This window comes from Homo sapiens, chromosome 14 (genome assembly GCF_000001405.40).
Source record: "Homo sapiens chromosome 14, GRCh38.p14 Primary Assembly".
Taxonomy (NCBI): domain Eukaryota; kingdom Metazoa; phylum Chordata; class Mammalia; order Primates; family Hominidae; genus Homo; species Homo sapiens.
In genome coordinates, this window is record NC_000014.9 from 72600592 (window position 1) to 72623464 (window position 22873).

Sequence of the window (22873 nt, forward strand, 5' to 3'; positions counted from 1 at the left end):
CACACACAATTTTACAGACAAATTCAAGGAGCCCTGAAGCCCAGCCATGGTCTAGAGAAAGGCTACCCAGGGATCTTGTCCATGTTCATGTTCTCAGTCTGGACCCCTGCCGGGCTCCTCCACACCATACCAGCTGCACTTCCTCATTCCCTGGGCCGGAGACACCAAGGGAGTCACAGGAGGGCCAGCCAGGCCAAGCGGCCACCAGCACTGGCCATCCCAGCTTCCCAGCCTCTCCCCTGCCGCATCCCCACCACCAGCATAGGGTCCCTACTCCCCGCACAGCTCCCTGCACCTCCCACTTGACTGTAGCCCTCCCCTGGCTGCTGCAGCTGCGGGAAAGAGGCAAAGATGAAGTGGGGGAAGGAAAGGAGGAGGAGGAGGAGCAGGGAGAGGAAGAGGAGGAGGAGGGGGGAGAGGAGGAGGAGGAGGGGGAGGAGGAAGAGGAGGAGAAGGGGGAAGAGGAGGAGGAGGGGGAGGAGGAGGAAGAAGGGGAGGAAAGGGAATAGGTCCCTCAGTAGACGAGGTACAGACCAAAGGGGCTGCAGCCTCTAGCCCTTCATCCTAACCCGAAAGGGGGCTCAGCCAGTCCCAGGAGGTATGGTCTACAGAGCACTCACTCACACACCCTTAGCATTAACCTTGGCCCAGCCTGGCCAGCCTCCCACCATCATAGCCAGCAGCAGGATCTAAGCGACAGAGCCTGCTCTGAAAGCCAGGGACCTCCTTCACCACCCCCACCCCCGAATCTAACCCACTCAGCACAGCTCCCAACCCTCCCCTGCTCAGGACCCTTCGTGGTGCCCCTGTCACTTCCAGCAGAAACTGCTGCCTCTCCCACTCAAGGTGCTCCAGGTCGGACCTCAGCCCCAGGCACTCCTGCCTCTTCTTCTAAAACTTTCCTGAGGAAATAAGTTCTGCTGTTCTATTGCACAGGAGGGTGACTATAGTTAACAATAACGTATTGTGTATTTCAAAAGAGCTAGAGGAGAAGATTTTGAATGTTCTTAGCACAAAGAAATGATAAATGTTTGAGGTGATGCATTTGCTAATTATCCATGTCAGTCATTACACAACACATACAGGTATCAAAACATCACACTGTATCCCGTAAATATGTACAATTATTGTGTGTCAATTAAAAATAAAATAAAACTCTCCTCCATACTGGCCAGCCTAGACTACTAGCCACATTTTCTTGTCTCCACATAGGTGCCTGACATAATCTCTTTCTTCCTCCCCGCCAACAACCTAAGGTTCAAATTAGCTCAAATGCCACCTCCTCTCTGAAACCTTCCTAGCTTTCTCTCCAGTTGGAAGCACCCTCCCTTCTGAACTCTCATAGCACAGTGTCTGGGGGCGCTTGTGGCCTTTGCCACATTCTCCTCAATTTCCACAGGTAAACTTCATAATCCGAGATGATACTGCTATTACTGGGAGCCTGTTGTGTACCAGATACGGGGCCAAGGGCTTTACCCGCATTGCCTCGTTGAATCTTCCCACAAAGGCAAGATAGAAGATGGCTATAATTCCCTCCATTAAGAGAAAAGGAAAAACAGACAAAGCCACATTTCTCTGACTCCCAAGCCAGGGTACTTTCCTCGGCCCTGTTCTGCCACCTAAGTTTCTTGAGGAAACTTACGTCTTAAGGGTAGGAACTTGTTAACCTTTTATTCTAGGATCAAGTTTTTGTTGCCATATCAGTGATTACATGGTCGACGAGAGGATGGTAGGAGAAGGATGAGAGAGGAAGAACCATACATGCTAGGTACTATACACATGTGACTGTGTTTAATCCTCACGGCAACCCTACAAAGTAGGTGTCATTCTCCCCATTTCTCAGACGAGGAAATTGAGGCTCATGGAGGTTATGTAGCATGGCCGCCACAGGTCATCCAGCCTGTGAGTGGCATTGCCAGCCTTCTCTCAAGGGTTCTCAGGCCCCAAAGCCACCCTCCACCGGCCGACTCACAGTGCGCACCGAGGCAAGGGTGAGCTCTCCTGGTGCCTCTCTCCATTTGGCAAACGGATCACCGAAGGTTAGAGCCCAGTGACTTTTGTAATTAAAAGTATTTTCTTTCCTGACTTCCATTATGTAATTGGAAATGTATTCCCAAGGGCAATAATTTTGGCCTCAAGACATAATTAAAAGCATACAGGAGTGCAATGTATATTTTTAAACGGCATAACTAGAGGAAAGCTAATGATTTTATGGCACAACTGAAGGATCACCCCAGAAGCTGCGTTCCATTCCCCTCCAAAGCTAGATCCACGTTGAGAAAGGCAGTCCTTGATTCTAGTCCCTTAAAATCAAAGGATATCAGAACAAGGATCACTGAGGAAGATAAAGAAAAAGAAAAAAGAAAAAAATCAAAAAAGAAACTAAACAAAGTCAAAGGATATTTATAAACCACCAGTTTTAAGCCCTGGGCTTTTAGGTGTTGTTTGTAAATAGTTTTAATCTGTGAATGCCTGTTTAGGGACTAAATCTAATAATGTATTTTTTTCAGGGCCCTTTATGAGCTCTTTAAGAAGAAAGTTGGCCATTTTGCCCCAGAGAAACATGGAGATCATTTTCATAATTTATTATTTCTTTAAGTGCATAGTGGATTTCCTTTAAGAGGAACACAGGGTGGCCCACTTAGAATAAATCATGATTAATAATGCAGCAAGACTTGAAGGATTTGGGTTTTAAGTGGGCTGTAGTAACCCAACAACAGATGGGTAAAGGCCTAGGGGCCCAGTCCATTCTTAGCCAACAGAACTGCCTTCCTCCCACAGGCGCCAGGGGAGGAGATCTGCTTCTGATTCTGCCAGGGCCATGCCCCAGAGGGAGAAATATCCATGCCTATGAGGCAAACTGTGCTCCACTCCCCACACCACTGGATTTCCTCTTATCCACTCAGTCACCCATTCACACACTCAATCATTCATTCAAGGATCCCTGTATTCATCCACCCATTCTGTTGTTGAATATGATCCAGGCAGTTGGCATTCAACAGTGAACAAGACACAGTGCGTGCCCTCAAAGAGCTAGTCTGATCAGGGAGGCTCTCAAGAAAGCTGACAACGAGCAGGGAGCATCAGGTGCTATATGACAGGGATAGGTAAAACATAGATAAGAGGTTGGAGCCTCAGAAATGTTTGTAGGTGGAGAACGAGTATGTATGCAAGAAAGTTCCTGCTTGGGTGGTTGGGGTGGCATTCTGGAGATTCCAGACAAGAGATCTCCATTCAACCACATTGACAAAAGCAAAAAGATAAGGTTAGAGTGGTTCGTTGTGAGAAATGAGGGAGTGCCTTGTGGGAAATGAGGAATGTAAGAAAACACATAAAAAGGAATCAGACAGAAGTTTAAGGAGTTATCTTTCTGGACACTGCATAGAGGATGGGAGAGAGAGTAATAGTATAGTTTAACAGGATCCAAGAGAGTATAGTTTAACGGGATCCAAGCCCACACATCAAACAAAGTGGAAGACTAGTTGCTGGAAGATCTCAGGCTCTTTTCTCACAGGTTAAAGACTCTGAGCCCCCAACATTGGCTCTTAGCTTCAGAAAATGGCCCTCTGTGTGTCATGTGGCAACTAGGCTCCATGGAAGAGTTTGCCCTAGATCTGAGGTACAGCCTGGGTTGCAGTGTTTAAGACACAGGTCCCAGACAACCTCAGCCCAGCATCCCTAGAATAAACGGAGGCGGGTTTGTTCAAATTGCCCTCTCCACTTGGAAAGCCCATCCCCAATCCCAAATCACTGCTGTCAAAGTCTTATACATTCTTCAAGGTTCTGCTCCAATGCACCTCCTCATGAAGGCCTTCTACAGATGATCTCCCTTCCTGTGTGCCTATGGGACCACATATCTGTGGTTCCATCCTGAGTTAAAGGCAACAATGTACATGCTATACCTCTCAGTTGGCCCGTTGCTTCCACTGGGAAGTTCTAAAGTTGCTGTCAAGTTTTATCCTCCAAGTCTGTAGCCACATGAGACGGTGAGTTGTGTCCATCAAAATGGCTTGGATGACCGCTCTGAACATGCACCTCTGTGGACACAGATGACCCAGGGGTTTGAGGAAAGCAGAAAGGGGAGAGAATAAGAGGGTCTGGGTGCTGGTACGACCCTCCTTAGCTCCTCCCAGCCCCCAGGGAGGCTCTCTGGAATTGTGTTTTCCCTCTCTGTTTTGGGTTGAGCCTGTGTTTAGTCCCTGGCGGGGATGGCATTATTTTCCTCAAGGTTTCAAGGGGGTTGGAGAGCGTTTCATATTTCTCTGTTTGGCAAATAGTCAGTCCCCTGCCTCCCCTCCCAGGAATCAGGAATCCCAGAAATTAAAGCCAGAGGGACTCGGGTTTCTTTCTGAGCGGGGCCACTGCAACAGATGCCAGTTGGGCCCAGGAAATAGCCAGGAGGTGGGGAGCACCAGGTCTTGGGTTTTCTGGGAGGCAAGGGAGGGTACAGCCATGGATAAAATGCCGTGGCACTGTAGAGGGCAGGTTTGGGCTCCCTGTCTGGAGCAGAATAATCTTTCTTTCAAAGCTGAGTTGGAGTGAGCAAGGACCAGCGGCAGCCATTCCACTCCATGCTGTGGGCACGTTTCTCTCTGGGTAAAGGGGAGACAGAGCTTTCCATGCTGGAGAAGGGGATGGGAAGGCGCAAATCCCAGCGAAGGGAAGCAGGCCCAGCCCAGATGCCAGCAGAGAGGGAGCAGGAGCAGGAGGAGGGGATGGGAATGAGCCAGGCTTCAGCACAGAGGCTTGGAGATGGCAGGCGGGCGCTTGCACGCAGAGGAGAGCTGACACCTGGATCTCAGCTTGCTTCCCCCGGAGAACACTTTAATGAGGCTCACAGCTGTAATATCACAGAACGAGCATTAACAATGCTAATTACCTGAAGTTTAGCCCGAACATTCCTAACCCACCCACCTTGGGGACACACTGTTGTTCTGGCCCTGCTAAAAGCGCTGATGGTTCAAAACACGGGCTGAGGCTTACGACGCAGATGTGACAGCAGAACACCAAGACAGGCCGGGCTGGGGACAGGTAGGGTAGTGTGTGCTGCAGGCTGCAGGGATGCCCAGGAATGGACAGAGTGGACCCTCCTGGTCATGATACCAATGTCCCTCTGCTCTTCTTAAGAGTAACCCAAGGGAGAAGCCCCAAGTGGAGATCAGACCCCCTTGGCAAAAGCCGGGAATGGGCTACATCCATTTGTGCATGGCAGAGGGTCATGGGACCGAGGTGACCTCCCATCATCACTCTGCACAACCTCAGAGGACACCCCTGTGCCCTTCCCACCATCTAGCCCCAAAGATGGTTTCAAACTGTTGCGTGTTTTTTGAAGCAGCAGAACCACCAATAGAAGACACAGATCAAATCGGAGCTGTGCTGGTCACTGGTTTGAGTTGAAAGTTGGGGCTCAAGGCTCAAGGACTTTCCTTCCACCCTTGTCCCCCGAGACCTCTGGGCATCCCCAAATCACTCCCAGAATCCTAGGCCTCTGCAAAGTCTGCTTGGAAAACCACTATTCTAGAACAATGTAAACCTCTGGCCTCATCGTGTCTGGTATTAAACCATGCCATTCCAAGGCACTGCATGGAAACACACTTTGCCAGACACCCCAGAAGGCCCCTGACTCAGGCCAACTCTGGGGGCTGGAAGACAGGCATGATCTTTTGGTGCATGTATACCTCGATCTGCATGGCCCCTTCCCCAAACCCGCTAAGTCTAGGGCTGACTTTATAGAAACTCATGCCTGTATCTATAAAGTCAAATGTCACCCAGCCAGATAAGACAAGATCTAGAACTTCTGATTCCTCTCTCAGTAGCCTTTCTGCCAACCCAGGGAGGGGAAACCATATTATATCTCTATCGCAACCCCACCCCTTAGACTCCCACTACTGCCGGGTGTTGAGCCACTCATCAACATCTTATCCCACTGGTCCCTTCTTCCTAGGTCTCGCCACCTCACTCCACCACCATTCCAAGCCTTTTCCTCTCCCCAGGGAAAAAGCAGAGGAAGGCCGTTCTGCTCTGCGTTTGCTTGAACATAACTTGGATCCTTCCACTTTTCCCCGCTGATAGTTTGGATGTGTGTTCCCACCAAATTCCGTGTTGAAATGTGATCCCCAGTGTTGGAGGTGGGGCCTAGTGGGAAGTGTTTGGGTCGTGGGGGTGGATCCCTCATGAACAGCTTTGTGCCCTCCCAGCGGTAGGTAATGACTGAGTTCTTGTTCTATTGGTTCACACTAGAACTGATTGTTAAAAAGAGTCTAGGACCTCCCCCTCTCTGTCTCACTCCTTCCCTCACCATGTGACACACCTGCTCCTCCTCAATTGAAAGCTTCCTGAGGTCCTTACAAGAAGCAGATGTTGGTGCCATGCTTCTTGTATAGCCTGCAGAGCCATGAGCCAAATAATCCTCTTTTCTTTACAAATTACCCATCCTCAGGCATATCCTTTAGTAACACAAAATGGACTAACACCCCCTCCCTCCTCCATCCCTCTGACTCAGGGCAATGTCAGTTTCTGGGCTGCATTATAATAGTTAACTTTCTCAGGTCCAACAGAACATGGCACATCTACTGCCTTCTCAAAAGACCTCTCTCAGAAATTGATGGGATAAAATGTCTTCGTCTGTTTGGGCCCCTATAATAAAGTGCCATAGACTGGGTGGCTTATCAACAATAAGCCAAATTTATTTCTCACAATTCTGGAGACTGGAAAGTCCAAGATCAAGGTGCCAGCAGATTCGGTGTCCAGCAAGGGCCTGCCTCCTCATGGACAGCCACCTTCTCACTCCAACTTCACATGGTGAAGGGGCAAGGGGTCTGTCTTGGGCTTCCTTTATAAGGGCACTAATGCCGTGCATGTGGACTCTGCCCCCCATGACATAATCACCTCCCAAAGTCCCTGCTTCTAATACCATCACCCTGAGGGTGGAGATTTCAACATATGGATTTTGGGGGACATACCATTCATACCATAGCAGACTAGGATGCAATGCCGGGTTCCCTGGGGTTAAAGCAGAAATGTGCACAGCTCTCTGTGCAGATGAAAGGCCTGAATGTGGGTGTCTGTGTAATCGTCTGCTGCCTGGATTTTGTTATATGAGCCTAAGTCCCCCTGATTGCTGAATTTAGCAGTTCAGCATTGCAGGTCCAGCTGTCACTTGAAACTGCTTTGGGTGAAGGCCTGGCCTTTCCCCTCTGGTCCCTGAATGCGAACATCTCTCCCACTGCAGAGATGGCTCGACAACCTGCTCAATGACCCATGTCCGCAGCAACCATCAATGGCTTCTCTGCCGAAATAACGGCCCCACATTATGCTTAGAAAAGCAAAGGCTGAAGGCGCATGGATGACTCATTAAAGAACAGTGCAGCACTCACTTAGGGGAGGAATAAAAAGTGACATGGTGTCTTCCCACTGCCATGCCCACCTGTGTCTTACCAAAATGCACAGTAGCTTCCAACTAAAACCACGCTGACTGATCGAGACCAGGGAGCTCATGTTCTAGTTCCCTCAATTTCCCCCTTGACCCCGTTCATCACATGTTGTACTATTACCTGTCTGGTGCCTGCCTCCTTGGCAAGATTGTGAGCCTCATGAGAGGTAGAGCTTTGTCTTCTCTGCTGTAGCCCCAGTACCTAGCATAGAGTAGAGGCCTTTATTTATCTATCTAAAATTTATTTTTGGGAGACTGACTCTTAACTTGCAGCCTCAGGAAACCAATTCCCGCATGGACCAGGAGTCCTATACCCACAGGCTGTTGCTTTAAGGCCATTGCTAAGCAGACTCTAGAGACTCTAGGGGCAGATGTGTCCTCTGTGATACCTCTTGCTCCTTGCCCAGGGCAGCCAACTCACTGCCTTCATGGAAGGCAGCTGAGAGAAAAGAAGCAATGACTCAGCTGGCTTCTAGATGGGTCCTGCACCAGAGGTCTCTCTCTCTCCCCAACCATATTCCCCCACCTCTCCTGTGAGTCATCTCTGATTCATCAACCTCCCTTCTCCTAGAAAATCTAGGGGGCTCCTTTCAGGATGCCCTAGGAGCTTCTCTGAGGGGTCTCCAGAAAAGGAGCTGCTCTACTCCTGCAGATGAAGCTCTCAGTTAAGGCCTGAAGCTATGCTGCCCACTGTGCCCATGAAAGCTGTCACGGTGACTGTGGCTTCCCTGGTGCTATGTATGACGTGGCCAGAAGCTCATCACCAGGCAGCAACTGAGACCTGGAATTTGTTGCTCCTGGAGTCTCCCTGCAACCATGAAAGCACTAGTGTTTCTCTGGAGCCTGATGCACACGCATGCGTGTTTCTCTCTCTCCCTCTCTCTCTTTCTCTCTCTCTTACACAATGCAGTCCTACTGCACACCCCAACATGAAAGGGCTCTACCCCCACAGGATCTCTACATTTGCAAGTGAGGTCCTAACTATCCGTAGGGAAAATAAGAGTTTCCAAGAGTTTTAAAGCCTTTTATTTGTTTACACATTCTCTAAATTGCAGACAAAAGATTCACTACGTGGGTAGTCAACATTGCTAACCAATCACAGAACAAGATACTAACCACAGCAAGGAAGGGGTAGGGGCTTGTGACTCAGTCTTTGAGAACGTGCGAGCATTCCATGGGATATCGAGGGGTCCCAAAGAAGAAGGCTGCTCGATCCCCACATTCTTCATCTCATCAGCGACAGGTCTCCCTCCCAGAACCCCATCAGGACAGGAGAAAAGGCAGCAAGAGAGGTGGGGTGGTCCTGGCACGTGGGCCACCAGTCTTCTGAATGAAGAGTGAGTCCCGGGTCAGGAGTCCACATCAGGTGTGGGCTGCTTCCAATCTGTAGGTTCTCCTGGAGATTGTCACAATCTGCCAGCTCTCTGGGAATCACAGAACCATCATGTCCCCTTAGGATGGCAGAAGATGTGGCACAGCCTCAATCTCCAACACTGAAACACTGAGAGAGCTTGATACGTTCCTTAGGCAGGGCAGAAACATCACAGCACTTCACGTTAGGAACCACGAAAGAGTGGGAACCTGACACACGTGGGAAGGGCACATCCCCAGAGGACAGAGGACAAGGGTGGCACACACACCTACAGAGACCGCAACCACATCACAGTGAAGGAGGAGGACAGCTAACGGGGTGGGAGGTGGGAGCTTTTTGTTTGTCTGTTGCTGTCGTTGCTTTTTAGAGAAGCCAGGGTGGGCCAAATGGAGATATTGTCTCAAGACCATTACACACAGCTTCCCAAATCTGTAGCCCTTTTCTGTAACCTCATGAAAGCTGTGTCAGACTCAGTCCTGGTCTGAAGTACCAAAGCAGCCCAAGGCAAAACCTCATCTGCAAGAGGCAATGCGGCGTTGGGTCCCAAGGATCAGTGGGGAGGGTGTTCAAAAGAGCAAAAAGGGAAACCCTCTTTCATAGGCATTTCTCTCACTGGAGACCCACTCTCTTGGTCATTCCTTTATGACTGAGAGTCTCAGAAGGAGTTGTGAGTGTGAGGTAAAAGAGACAAGCAAGCATTTTGGAATGATGGGGATAAAATGTTGCAGTGGCTTCCCTCTCTGGTGCCCATACCTGGAAGAAGCAATCCCAGGTTTGCTTCGTATCTGCAGGTCTAGAGACATCAATGGAGGCAGCAATTGGAGATCTCAGTGTGTTTCCAGGGTCTCTGACTCAACTAGAGGGCATCCAAGGCCTGGTGGAGCCTGTGCAGGCCTGAGCTTCCTCGTGGAGCAGCAGGTAGGCAGCTCATTCCCAGGGACCTGGTCATCCTTCCTACCATAGGAGCCACCTGCCAAAGCCCACCCAGAGGAATCCCAGCGTTCACAAATGGAGGCGCCCTCACCAAAGCCACTGGACCAGCCTGTCCCTGAGAAGAGACACAGAGGGGCTTCAGCAATGAGAAGAAGAAAACCAATTTCTTTTGGCTTCTTAGCAGAGATGCTCCATGTCTTGGCTGTCAGAGAAATTGAGCTTACAAATTGCCCTCACCCTGAACCCACTTGGCAACGGGGAGATGACCTGGTTGAGGTCTAGTTCTGGCTTTTGTGAATCGACCGTGTGACGTAGACAGCACAGCATCAGGCCAGGAAGGCGCCTGATGAGACCGTGTTCTCAGCCTGAGAGCGCGCTCAAGGGCAGGTGGGAGATGGAGCCTTCTCAGAGCTCAGCCACTGGCTCTTGGGCTCCCAGGTTCATCCCTCAAGGAGCTGGGGACCTGAGGGCTCAGGGCCCACCACTGGCTGCCTGGGGGAAGTGCTGCCAGTCTGGTGTGGAAAGGGTCCAAGTCAGAGGCCTTTGCCTCACCCCTTCCACCAGCAGGGCCATTCAGAGAAGTCTTGGCTCAAAAGAACGTTGCCCACAGGCTTTCAAGTAGGTGAGTGGACCAAACCCCTGCATGCTTTTCAGGCTGTCACGCACTTTAAAACCAGACTCACAGCCAAGCCTTGTGTCCCTGACTACCTCCACAGAGATCACCAGAATTCTCCTCACTGGGAGTCATGTGCCATCCAGGGCCCCAGAGGAGCCTTCCCTTGGGCCACCCCCCACAGAGAAGCTATAGCTCTGAGCCAACATCCACACATGGACAGATACACACCTTCCCCCAAGCCCAGGCATTTTGCTTGAAAGCAAGGTTGGTGTGGCTTCTTCAGGGAATAACTCAAAGCTGAAATCTGGCTGTGACACGTGTGGAGAAAAGGAAAGATGAAACAAACGGTTTATTCCTAATGCTGTCAACACAAACAACTGAGAGTCTAAGCCAGCACGAAGCTAGGATCTGACAAGCACCTGGCCAAAGGTGAGCATGGAAGGTTTGCTGAAAACCTCTCTGATGCTGGGTTTCATCCCTGCACACACCAGCAGTGCCAGATACAGGCGTGGGGCAGCTGACCTTGCTGGGGTCTGGTGGAGTGTGCCCAATCTGTACTTGAAGCCCCCACCCCCCCAGTCCCGCTCTCTGCTTTCTCTAGCAGGGAAAAGACCACTGTGGGGGTCATTTTCTGCCTCTGATCAGGCCCTGCCAGTTGCACCTCCCTGCCTTCCACCCCAGAAACCCACAAGCAGCTCTGGGGACACTGGCTGCCCAACACACTCCAGGCCAGGTGACTTCATCAGTTCACCAGTTTTAATGCTGAGGATGCTGTCATCCAAGGGCATCCAGTGCTTGGAAAAGCAGATTAAAGCAACTAGGCTGAGGTCATCTGTTTTCTTCCCCCGACCCCTCAGCCTCCACAGGGTAGAAATCACTGGATGCCTCCACCTGCTTGTCTTCTACTGAGGAACACGCATCCTCAACAGAGAAACCTACATATACTTACACCTTCCGTGATGGCGCGATACTTGACCTACAATCACGATTGCTTGGCAGAGCTTAATTTCATGGCTGAAAAGCAACTTGAAGGCTAGGCCAGCATGCGGTTTATTTTCCAGCCCCTACAGGACCTAGAGCATTGCCTCGCACACAGTCGATGCCCTGCCAAGGGTTTTAATTTAGCCAGTAACAGCCTGCCCTGCAATGATTCATGGCAGGCAAAAGATGGGTTCATTTTCCTTCAGAGGAAAAACCCCCAGGGTGGACAACCATGGCAGATGAGTGGGGGGCAGCTTGGATGGACTCTGTTCCCTTTCCTGGCCAGAGGAGCACAAATGCCCCCTAAGCATCTGACCATTCATTGCAAAAGCATGACCCATCTGCTTTCCCAAATGCCATGTGGACCAGACGCATTGGTGAGCCAGGGACGCCCTGCCTACCTACCCCGCCTCTCTCCAGCCACCTGCTCCCCACCTCCTCTGCTCTGAGATAATCATTCTATATTTTCATGCTCTTGCTCACATATCAGGCAGTGTTTCTGTCCTTTTTTTTTTTCTAGTACCTAATTTAGGCTTCTTCAACTACATGTTGAAAATGTGCACGGGGTATATTTTCTTTTTCCTATACGCCACTGTTGCTTCCCACTTCCCACCTCCACCCCACTCCTTAGCATCTATCACGGCAGAGGGAAGGGAGGAAACAGTGCAGGGAAGGGAGAGGGCAGGAGGAGAATCAGGGTCTCAGTGGGGAGTAGACATGGAAGGGCAAACCAAGTCCGTATAAACCACAAACCCCATTCTAGCCATAAAAGCTTTGCATCCCTTTGATAGCAGAATTGAGACTTTTGAAGTACCCAACTATTGCCAAATATCTTTCATGAAAAGAAGCATAGGTGAACGAAGGGAAGAGAAGGAGAGAGGTCGCGGAGCCAGTAGCTTTCCAAGCACAAGGCTCCCTTTGCAACCCTGGTGGCTGTGCAGAGGCTGAGAGCTGGAGGAGCAGGACTGGAGAAGACTTCAGGAAAGATGCACCTTGCCTGGCAGCCCCTGGCTCTCCCTCTTGTCCTGGAGCAACATCAAAGTTTCCCTTTGGTTCATTAAGTAGGGCGTGTGTGTGTGTGTGTGTGTGTGTGTGTGTGTGTGTGTATGTGCGTGCGTGCACGCACGCGCATGCACATGGGCATTCCTGTTCTCATCATCAATATTCATAACATTGAAATGAAGAACAGAGATGCAGAGAGGCGAGCAAATGAGCAAATGGGATGCAGTGAGTGAAAATATAACCTGGGAGTCTGTAGGGTTGTGTTGCTGAGGGAATATATAGGCCCCAGGGGCTCACAGGCCTCTGCCATTTCCTACAAGGCCCACTTACCTGCCCTCCCGTCCCCACCATGGCCGCGTTTATTTGCTAGACAGGGTTGGTGCCAGCCTACAGGGCCATTTTGCTCAATGCCTGGGCTAGAGGTCATGATAAGTAATTATATCTCTGTCCAAGAGGGTTCTGGCTGCCTGCCAGTCCTGGTTCCTGCCTTCCTCTGGCCTGCCCTGGGAAATGTCGCCATCAGCAAAATACTCCCTTCTCCTGGTGGAGCCAAAGAAGGGGAACTGTGGAAGGTCCCTCTCTCAAGGCCACCTGCCCTATGACCTGAGGTTGGCACTGGAGCAGAGAAAGGGAAGGAGTGGGGACAGAAGCTGGAACAAAGGGCCCTGGGGAGTCACCTCAGGACCCCCTCACAGCCAGGGCTCACTCAGAACCCAGAGAGAGCCTGTTCCCAGGAACCCACTCACTTCCAAATCTTTCCCCTCATGCAGGGAGTTCCCTGTTCCTTCTAGAAAACCCATGGTACGGAACTGGCAAGCCCGGACCCCTCCTCCTCAGAGTTTCCTGACAGCTCTTCCTTTGGGCCTCTCTTCTAGCTGCCTGGGCTGCGCACATGGAGGGGGCGCCCGCCGCACAGCCAGGCCTCCCCGGGGACAGCTGCTGAGAGGCTCTAAGGCAGTTCCCACTCGCTCTGCCTGGGAGGTTGTCTATCCTCCCACATCCCGGGTGCCCAGCAGGAAGCACCCCCATCTTCCTCTCCCCTCCTTCCCCCTGCCCCACTCTCAGCTGTCCACTCACAGACCAGAGGGTCTCCAGCCTCCCTAGGAAGGGGTTCCCAGCTCTCCAAGACCCACCACCAGCTGCCCAAAGGCCTTGAACCAACCCATCTGTCCCATTGTTTCCACACTCAGGGCTGGTGGCCGTGGCCTCTGGCAGAGAATCATAAGCAGACTCCCAAACCCTGGGAATGCTCAGAAATGGGGGAGGGAGCCCCAACCCCCAGACAGCTATGGAGCCCACCTTCTGACCACGGACCAGTTAGACTCTATGGCAAGCTGGGGTTCAGGTAGGGAGATTCATAGGCCTGAGGCAAATTAAAACAGCTGTTCCCCACCATCACCATCCTTCCCCTTCACCTGGTATCCAAAAGCATACTTTGGGGATGGGAGTAAGATTTCAAAACGGGCAACACACAGCAGGAAGAGGAGGAGCTCTGTCCACTTTGCAGAGGGGAGAGGAGCAGGATGGCCAGTCCCCCTCTTCCCTTCCCAGCTACTGGTGTCCTGGGCTTGGGGGACAGGGGCCTGGGGGCCTGACCCCTCTGGTAGCAGTGCCTGGAAATGCTTCACTCCCCAAGGCTGCAGGCATGATCCAGCCCTCCCTCACTGCCTTCTCTCCCCAGCTGGGTGAGGGGCTTACTTTGCCCTCAGAAGCATCCCTGAAACCCCACACAACCAACGGGCGGCCTCAAGAAAGAGGGAGCTGAATCAGTGTTCAGAACTGGGCAGAGGTTTGGCCTTTTTACAAAATAATAATAATAATAATCTGTTGCCCAGGATCACAAGCCTCAGAAAAAAAAAAAAGAGTTACAATCACTGTTCACTCCCACCTGCTGCCCTCCAGCTCCTTAGCTCGAGGATTTCTCCCTGAGGACATCCAGCTCTCTGCCTTTTTCCACCAGAGATCCTCACCCCTCCCAAATGCCCTCCCACCCTCCCTTCCCCAGGCACCCCTGTCTTTCTCCCTCCCCAGGAATGGAAGCCTGCTAAAAGGGACACCAAGTCACCACTGCTACCAGGAGCCAGGCCTGGGACTTGCGGCATCCTGTGGGAGTGTGAGCGTGGCTCTGGCCAGAGCCAACTTCTCCCTCGGGCTGAGACATGGGGACCCCCTGAAGAGGGGCTAGGAGGGGCAGCCGGGGAGTGAGAGAAGAAGGGGCTGCTTCTGTCCCAGCACTTCCACGACAGGCTAAAAACCAGCCTGGGGGGCAGGGATGTGGTCCTCAGGGCCCGCCCTGGGCCACGGGCGGCGCAACACCCCCTACCTCCTCACACACAGACCCAAAGAGGAGACTATAAGCCCCTCTTCTTTGAGTCCTGAGGCCTGAGGTTGCCAGCAACCTTTCTTCAGCGGCATAAAAGAGCACAGGTCTCCTCCACTTGCCCCGAAAGGAAAAGTAATAACAATCATCTCATTTTTCTTCCTTAAAACATCAAAACTTTTTAAGCGGAGGGTTGAAAGGAAGCGGGCTGTATTCAAAGCACGAATACAAAAATGCACCAGGAGTGTGCAACCCTCCAGGGTATCATGAAACCATCACTGTGAAACCCAAACCCTCCCCCAACTTCAAAACCTGTTCTCTTCCCCAGTTCTGGAGGAATCTGGCCTCCTTCCCTCCCTTCCACCCACCCACAGGCTCTTCCCTGGTTCCAGTCGGCTGGGCTCAGCCTGCCCAGGCTTCCGGCTTCCTACCTCGCCCTGGGGCAGGGACAGGAGCAGGGGAGCCTTGGGACCTGCTGGCTCCTGCTTCAGGGGCGATGAGTCAGTGAGGGGTTCCAAAGGAAAGCCAGAATGTCAATCTCCTAGCAGGAGCCCTGTTTCTATTTCCACATAATGTTGCCTGCACTGGATTTGCTACAGATCCAAAAAGCAGGGTTTCAAAAATGCCTACAGGAAACAGGATTTCCACTTCCGGTTGGGTCTGGCAGCCTCACCTCTCTGGTTTGCTGGAGCCACAGTACAGAGGGGTGAAGCCCAGCAAAGTTCTCCTGGCTGTTCCCAGCATTTGAGCCGGAAGACAACCACATCATTATCTCCATTTGGTGGCCTCTGCAGAAAATGACAATAGCTACCATGGAGTGGGGACCATCATCATGCCAGACCCGGGCCAGGATCTTTACCAATGTCACCTTGAATACCTGCAAAGACCATGCTGGATAGGCCATGTTTCCCCACCTTACAGACATGTGAAATGAGGCTCAGAGAGTTGAAGTCATTGGCCCAAGGTCAGTCAGCTAGAAAGTGGCAGTGTTGGTCGGAAAGTGAGCGTTACCCATGAACTGAAACAAATCATAGCCCTCTCTAAAAGTCACCTTTCCATTCTCAACTGCATTAATCTTATAGAAGGAGTATCCTGAGTACCTTCATTTTAAAGTCCCCAACCCCATGTACATCCCTCACCTCCACCCCACAGCCCATGCAAGTCATGATTTCCTTGGTCGCAGCCCAGCCCTGGCAATATAAACTCCCTTTGGTCACAAGGGAGATTTGAAGAAGACGTCTAACATTGGCTAATGCACACAAGAAGGCGGACATGGAAAACATCCGGAGTTCTTCCCAGACAAGCATGGCTCTGCAGTGCTTGTTTATGTAACATGATGCTTAAGAGTCCCAGTGTCACTCTGGAATAGGCAGGGCAAGTGTTACTATCTCCACTTTCCAGGTGGGCAATTGAGGTTCAGGGAGGTTAGGTGACTTGCCCAGTGTCACACAGCTACTCCATGGCAGAGGCAACACAAAAACTCTGATCCTTCACATGCATCCTATGATTCTATCTCATTCTCTGGGGTTCAAAAAAAAGAGACCAATTTAAAGTTTACCAACCCCGTCCTCTTTTGAACACAGAGGTGATAAATGTGACCACGGAGACTTTTGTCTGCTTGTAGTACCCTGACAGTGCCAGCCCACAAGCTGGCTTGCTATCCCCGCTTTCCAGATGGGGAAACTGAGGCCTCCAAAGATGAAGAATGGGTTGGGCCCATTCTTCAGGGAGTAATGAAGCTGAGAGGGGAACTCCGGGGCCATCCTAACGTCACTCCAGAGCCCTGACCCTCACCAGTGCAGGCAAGTTCCAGTGCCCTGCCTTGGCCTGGGAGACCCAGCTGAGGCTCAGCTTGTGTAGGCAGAGCAGACATGGGGCTGAGATCGAACAGGGCTGCCCTATCACCTGCACTTCTGTGGAAAACAAATTTGCACATACTCTGAAGAGGACGTGTGAAGTTGTAGAGCCACAGTTTGGGGTTTCGGACTTGCTTTTTAAACTTTTAAGCTATTGTGGCACTTGGGAACATTTGGGGAACTTTTTTTTCTAAATTTAAATTAAAATGACGCTCAAAACCAATTATTAGCCTTTGGAGACAGCCTGCTTTGGGTTTTGTGGGAAGAGAGAGAGCTGGAGTAGTCAGGAGAAAAAATGTGCCCCTCTGATGGAATGTCACCCTCCCTATCCCTCCCTGGGCCTTCAGGATTCAGACAAGCTCACCGACCAGCAGGCGGAAGGAAATTACTTATGAGGAAGATGAAAATTCCATCCGGTCGGGGGCCCTTTAAATGAGACCATTATGTATGTGTGTGATTCCCTCTGAGGCCACAGGCCCCTGCAGGAGAGTGACCCCCATCGCTTGCCACAGGTCACTCTGCTGAAGCGTGGGGGAGACCCACACTGCTTGGTTTCATGCCAGGCTGCCCTGGGTCCACTGGCCAAGAGCAATTAGCCTAGAGAGGAGCACTCCTGCCGAGGGACAGCACAAATACTGCGGCCGGGCAGAGGTGGCCCAACTAGCCCGAGTCTCCGGGAGCGTCCTCAGGAGCTGAAGAACTAAAAATAACCTGGGCCTTTGTTGTGAGCAGCCAGACCACAGAGATGGAGCTGATTTCAGAGAAGCCAAGCATGCGCGAGGGTTCCGCTCACCGAGACCTGCCCTTTGGGCAAATGATTTTTCCAGAAATATGTCAGTTATTGTGCTGCTGCTGCGATTCAAAGTCAGCCCAATCCGCTCCAGCCCTCGGGGCTATCTTCCAACACACAGAGTTCTCGGAAGCTCAGCCTCCCCACCTCTTTCTTCTAGACACATTTTTTTTTGAAAACAAGAGTCCTGCATGTTTGGGGAGCTTAGGAGACAAGAGCAGCCCCCGCACTGAGAGTTCTAAAATGTGGCCACCCTGGTCGTGAATAATGACCATGTCACCCTAATTATTTGTTTAGATAACAATCTTCTCTCCCCCATCCTAAAATTCCCAGTCAGGTCTCAGTAGACAATAGCGAACAAACACTACGTGGAAGGAAGAAATTACTTGGAAAAAGGAATTCAGAGCGTCGCATCAATACTGAAGGTTTCTCAAAGCTGCAGCCCCCTGTATCCAGCATTCGGACACATGATTGGGCAGCCTTCGCTCCCCTTCCTGGTTCTTCAGTCCCACCAGGAGAAGCTGAACCAGGTCTCCAGAACCAGGTGGGCTGAGAGGCAGAGGCTTGACCGTCTTCCTCTGTCCATAGGCCATGACTGGTCTCACCTAAAGGATGCCCCAGCTCTGAAGGTCAAGGAACCAGCCTGGCCTCTTGCAAAGTCTCTCCCGATGGATAACAAGTACTGACTGGCTATGGCGGGGCCTTGGCACCATTTCCACAATGTTTCCTCCCATGTCTCTGCGCGTCTCCCTCCCTCCCCGCCCCCATCTAGTAACTTTAAGCAGTGGCTCAAGACCAGGCTGGCTGTGGATGCCACTGCTGGGGTTCTAGAAGGCAACTCTTTGTCTCCACAGACACCAAGGAACAAGAAAGGGTTTCAAGACCCCAAGTCTAGAAGTTTCCAGTGAGGCTTGCCATAAACGACAACTTCTCCACAGCCCTTTGTTCCTCAGGTGAGAATTTCAGGATGCAGACCCTAAGCTGGGGGCACGGGGGCTGTGCCAAGATTTCTTGGAACACAATAGATAAAAAAACACCACACTACACACAAGTAATGGATGAGTGGTCAGGAAATGGCTTCCCTTAAAATGGGAACCAATGAGAGGGCCTCGGTGCTAGGGTAAAAGTGAGAGGGGTTCCACAGGGCTGGGGCCGGAGGTGTTCTCCCAAAGTGCAACTTCCTTCCGGTAGAGACAAGGAGGTGCTGGCTGAAGTTCCGTACATATCGGGGGAGGTCAGGAGATGCCTCACCCTCTTCGTTCCATGTGTCCCTGCCCCTCTGGGACTATTTCTTTTCCTTGCAGTTGGTCTGGCTGGATATGTGGGAGGAGGGCGCGTTCTGGTTTGAACTGGGCTCTGCTTTAGGATCTCCAGCAGCGAGTCACATTCTGTGACCTGGGGCCCTAGGCCTGGCAGCCAAAGGCTGAGGCTTTCTCTTTGAGCAGTTCCCAGCATAAGTGGCAGCTCCAGCTTCCTGCAAGAAATGAGACGGCTTTAGTAGCAGCCCCTCTGCTAACTCTGGAGCCCCACCCCACTGGCCCTAACTTCTTGTAAATCCTGTTTCCTTTGAACTTTGGCAATGCAGAAACCAAGTCCCAGGCCTGAAAACGTGCCAGAGTCTGTGGCTCAGCAGAAAGCAGGTGCTCAGAGGAGATGGGCTCAACTCTTATCAAGACCCTCACTACTAGCGTCATGCCTCCAAACTAGTGTCGCCGGGCCTGCGCCAGTTCTCCTGGAAGCTCACACCTCCCGGTCATCTCCACTGCATGTCTGGGAAAAACTTCCTTGGCCCTCAAGTTGAAATTTCAGCTGCTTGGACTGTGCCTCAGTTTCCTCATCTGTAAAATGGCAGTCGTCGTACCTACCTTGTGGGGTTGTGATGATTAAATGAGACAAGACATGAACATGTAAACCCATTAGCATAAGGCCTGTACCATAGTGAGAGCTCAGTAAGTGCTAGTAGTAGTAGTATCTGTTGCTGTTCTTATTGTTGACTTCATCATCATTACCTTCTGGGGGCTCAGCCACCGGGGGATTTAAACAGTACATGTGATAGCCTCGGTCACAGTCATCGCAGAAGAGTAGCTGGTCCTGGTGGAACACAGAGTAAGCACAGAGGAGGAGAGATTCCATTATTCGGGGCCAATGTCTGGCCCCCGCTTACCCATCAGCCTTATTTCCACGTCGGTCTCACTGGATCCCCTTTCCAGGCCCCACTTGGAGTCCTCACTGTCCCCTGAACACGCCTGTGCTTTTCCCACAACTGGAGTTTCCCCCTCTACCTCCCAGCCTATATAAATCCTACCCCCATTTTAGGGTTCTGCTCAACTCGTACCTCCTCCAAGACGCCTTCTGTGACTAACACCTCACATCCAAATTTAAAGGGATCCCTTATTCTTCTGAACTTCCAAAGCCAATAGCTCTGCTTCCAAAGGGCAGAAAATGTCTCTATTCTCCATGACTTTATATATTTGAAGATCTTAATTGAATTCTTCTGGACTCCACTCTCTCCATCTGTGAAATGGCCAACAGCTGTACTGGGATGAACCTCAGAACCTCTTCAGGGTTTCATTAGAATGTAGAAAAATGCAAGTAGCGCCATCCCTCGGCTTCCAGAAGCTTCCTCACTGTCTGGAGGCTGGAGCCCGGGTGAGAGCAGGGCACCCCAGGGTTGTGGTTAACTTCAAAGGACACAGGCCATATCTTTGCACCTATGGCTACTTCTGCCTGGAGGCTCTCCCAGGCCCTGACCCTTTCTCTGCATGTCCATTCCCTGCCTGCCCTTCAAGTACGTCTTCTTCAAGCACTTCTTTTCCACAAAGTCTTTGCTAATCTACCTCAACTGGAAGTTGTCTCTTCCCTCGTGCAGCCCTGTGGTACTTTCCCTTTCTGTGACATTTAAATGCATTTTCCTTTACGTTACATGCCTGGCATGTGGTAGACATCTAATCACGTTTGTTTTCTTGGCTGGGCGCTGTGGCGCATGCCTGTAATCCCAGCACTTAGGGAGGCCAAGGCGCGTGGTTCACTTGAGGTCTGGAGTTCGAGACCAGCTTGGCCAACATGGTGAAACCCCATCTCTACTAACAATACAAAAATTAGCCAGGCATGGTGGCGTGCACCTGTAATCCCAGCTACTCAGGAGGCTGAGGCAGGAGAATCTCTTGAACCCGGGAGGTGGAGGTTGCAGTGAGCCAAGATCGCACCACTGCACTCCAGCCTGGGCAACTGAGTGAGACTCTGTCTCAAAAAAAAAAAAAAAAAGACATCTACATGTTTGTTTTCTTGAATAGTTCATTTGGAACATGCCTCTTTTTTCCACCCTTTATCCCCTTTATGGACTATAAAGCCCTTGGGGGCAAAATCTTGTTTTCCTCATCACTGCATCCACTGTAGAGACTTCCTTGCATACAGGAGCTGCTCGGAAACTGTTTGTGATCTGGCCCCACCCCCTAGTTTCAGCTCTGTTCTATTTGGTGATTGTTGAAACTGTTTGGATGGCTTATGAGCCTTTTTCAAAATAAAGTTTTATATCAAATCTCACCTTGGCCCCCACCAGTGCAGAAATCCTGGATAAAATTAGATATAGCTGTTGGAATCCCCAGGGAGCAAGCAATGAGGGCTTTTTTTGTCATGCTAAAACCCGTCAGTGGGGCAACAGGAAAGCTTTTGAAGAGTTATCAACAGGGGAGTGATACGATCAGATTGCAGTTTAGAAAGATCTTACTAGCTGCTATGTAAGAGTAGATACCCAGTGGGGGAGAGGTTCATTCAAGAGGCCCGGGGACCAGTTAGGAAGCTGCTATAGCTATCCAGGTGCGTGATGATGGTGGCCTGAATTACAATTGCGGCATGGAGAAAGAAATGGGTCTTGCTCCCATTTAAGCATCATTGATTAGATGGGGAGAGTGATAGGGAAGAAGCCAAGGATGCCGTCTGGGTTGTGGCTTGGTCAGCAAGCCAGATGATACAGCCACCCAATGGGACATGGGAGGAAGAGCAGACTCATGGGAGGGAGAGGGCAACCTCAGCTATAGACATGTTCTACAGATAGGGATGACCTGGAGGCTGTTGAAGAGAGCAGGAGAGAAGTCTGGGCCTGAGATATGGACTTGGGATTCATTGTAATTAGATGGCAAGTGAAGGTCCTAGGAGAGGAAGCCCAGAATGTGTGAGAGCAAATGTCTTTGACCTTGTCTTCATGGAGAAGTGTCCATGAACCCCTTGAAATGATACACACAATTTTGTACATAGGTAGAAATGTACATTTTTCTATGGAAAGAGTAAGTCCGTAGCTTTCATTGAATTCTCTGAAAGATCAAGGACCCAAAAGAGTTTACTGAGAAGAAGGCCAAGAGTTTACTGAGAAGAAGTACACTTGGGGTACTCCAACTTTACAGGACAGGCAGAGAAAAAAAGACTGAAAAGGAACAGTCAGAGAGGTGGGATGAAGACGAGCACACTGTAGTTTACGCCAAAACAGTTACATCATTATTGCAGAGCCAGCATAAGCTACAGGACAATTTGATTTAGGGATAATACAAGGAGAAACAAGTTAGGATGGAGACAGAAAACAGACAGGACTTGTCAGAAACAGTGTTATTAATGCCTTAAAAACAGTAATAACCCCTACTACAGCAGTGACATGGGAAATACAAATAGGTAGAATATCCTGGATTACAATTTCCCAAAGGAAAACTAGGCATCTGAGAGTTTAAGTGCATTTTGCATGGGTTGACCACTGTCTAGCACCATATTCTCTTCTCTTCCACCACCAAGAGCCCCCAGCTTATGCTAACTCTCATGACAAACACAATTTTAGTACCTCTCACTACCAACTATCCAGGAACCAGGAATCACCTATTACTACAGTTCCAGCAGAATGGGAATCCCATTCTCGGATATCCAGGGTAAATCCCTGACCATGTGAGAGGAATCCTAGTGCCCCAACAACCTCACCCCCTGACTCCTCCTCAAAGGCTCTGCCAAGTCAACAAAAAAATCCTCTACATTTACACTATCTGTAAAGCCAAAGACCAGCGTCAACCTAAATGTCCATCAATAAGGGAATGGTTGGATAAGTAAAAATTATGCAGCTGTAGGAAGGAATGAAGAATGTCTATATATTCCTCCAGATTAATCTCTAAGATATTCAGAGAAAACAAGCAAGATGGAGAAAACATATATACTTGTTACCATTTTTCATGGATTCATATATACACACACATGTTTACATTTAAACAAAATGGAAAGACAAATCATATTTTTTAGTGGTTGCCTATATGCAGAGTGAAGGAATAGTGTGGAAGAGGTAAGTAGAGAGCTACATTTCTTTGAATATAATGTTTCTTTATAAATTTGATTTTAGAACCAATAAATATTTTACACAGTCATAAAACAAAATTTAAATAGCAATATGTCCCTAAAAAAAACAAAAGAAAAATGAGGCAAATGAATTTGGTTATGTATCCAATTGGTAGCATAACCACACAGAGAGAAACTATTCCATCTGACTATAAAACAATTAATTTGACAATACATCCTTAGTAGGACATACCTTAAGGTCATACA

The 22873-nt window shown here is 50.2% G+C and overlaps 2 protein-coding genes across 2 annotated transcripts in view, besides 2 other annotated features; one reads left to right on the forward strand and one right to left on the reverse strand.

The window, feature by feature from the left end:
• RGS6 (regulator of G protein signaling 6) overlaps positions 1–22873 on the forward strand; it is a 762695-nt gene that overhangs the window by 733257 nt on the left and 6565 nt on the right. The window lies entirely within an intron of this gene.
• The window catches only part of DPF3 (double PHD fingers 3), a 285068-nt gene continuing 270637 nt past the window's right edge, over positions 8443–22873 (reverse strand). The window contains exons 10-11 of the mRNA NM_001280542.3: positions 19312–19393; positions 8443–18776 (exon numbers count right to left, since the gene is read on the reverse strand). Of these exons, the coding sequence (NP_001267471.1) occupies positions 18706–18776; positions 19312–19393 (153 nt within the window). The 3' untranslated portion in view covers positions 8443–18705. The remainder of the gene's footprint in view (positions 18777–19311; positions 19394–22873) is intronic.
• Positions 18085–19284: an enhancer, noted in NCBI's record as "MED14-independent group 3 enhancer chr14:73085384-73086583 (GRCh37/hg19 assembly coordinates)". NCBI's record gives its function as "activates an origin of replication core promoter dependent on BRD2, BRD4, P300/CBP and CDK7 cofactors, and independent of MED14, by STARR-seq in HCT116 cells {active_cell/tissue: HCT116}" and the evidence as "EXISTENCE:reporter gene assay evidence [ECO:0000049][PMID:35650434]".
• Positions 20655–21335: an enhancer, noted in NCBI's record as "OCT4-NANOG hESC enhancer chr14:73087954-73088634 (GRCh37/hg19 assembly coordinates)". NCBI's record gives its function as "activates a minimal SCP1, AML or CMV promoter by ChIP-STARR-seq in naive and primed H9 embryonic stem cells {active_cell/tissue: H9 hESC(naive and primed)}" and the evidence as "EXISTENCE:reporter gene assay evidence [ECO:0000049][PMID:30033119]".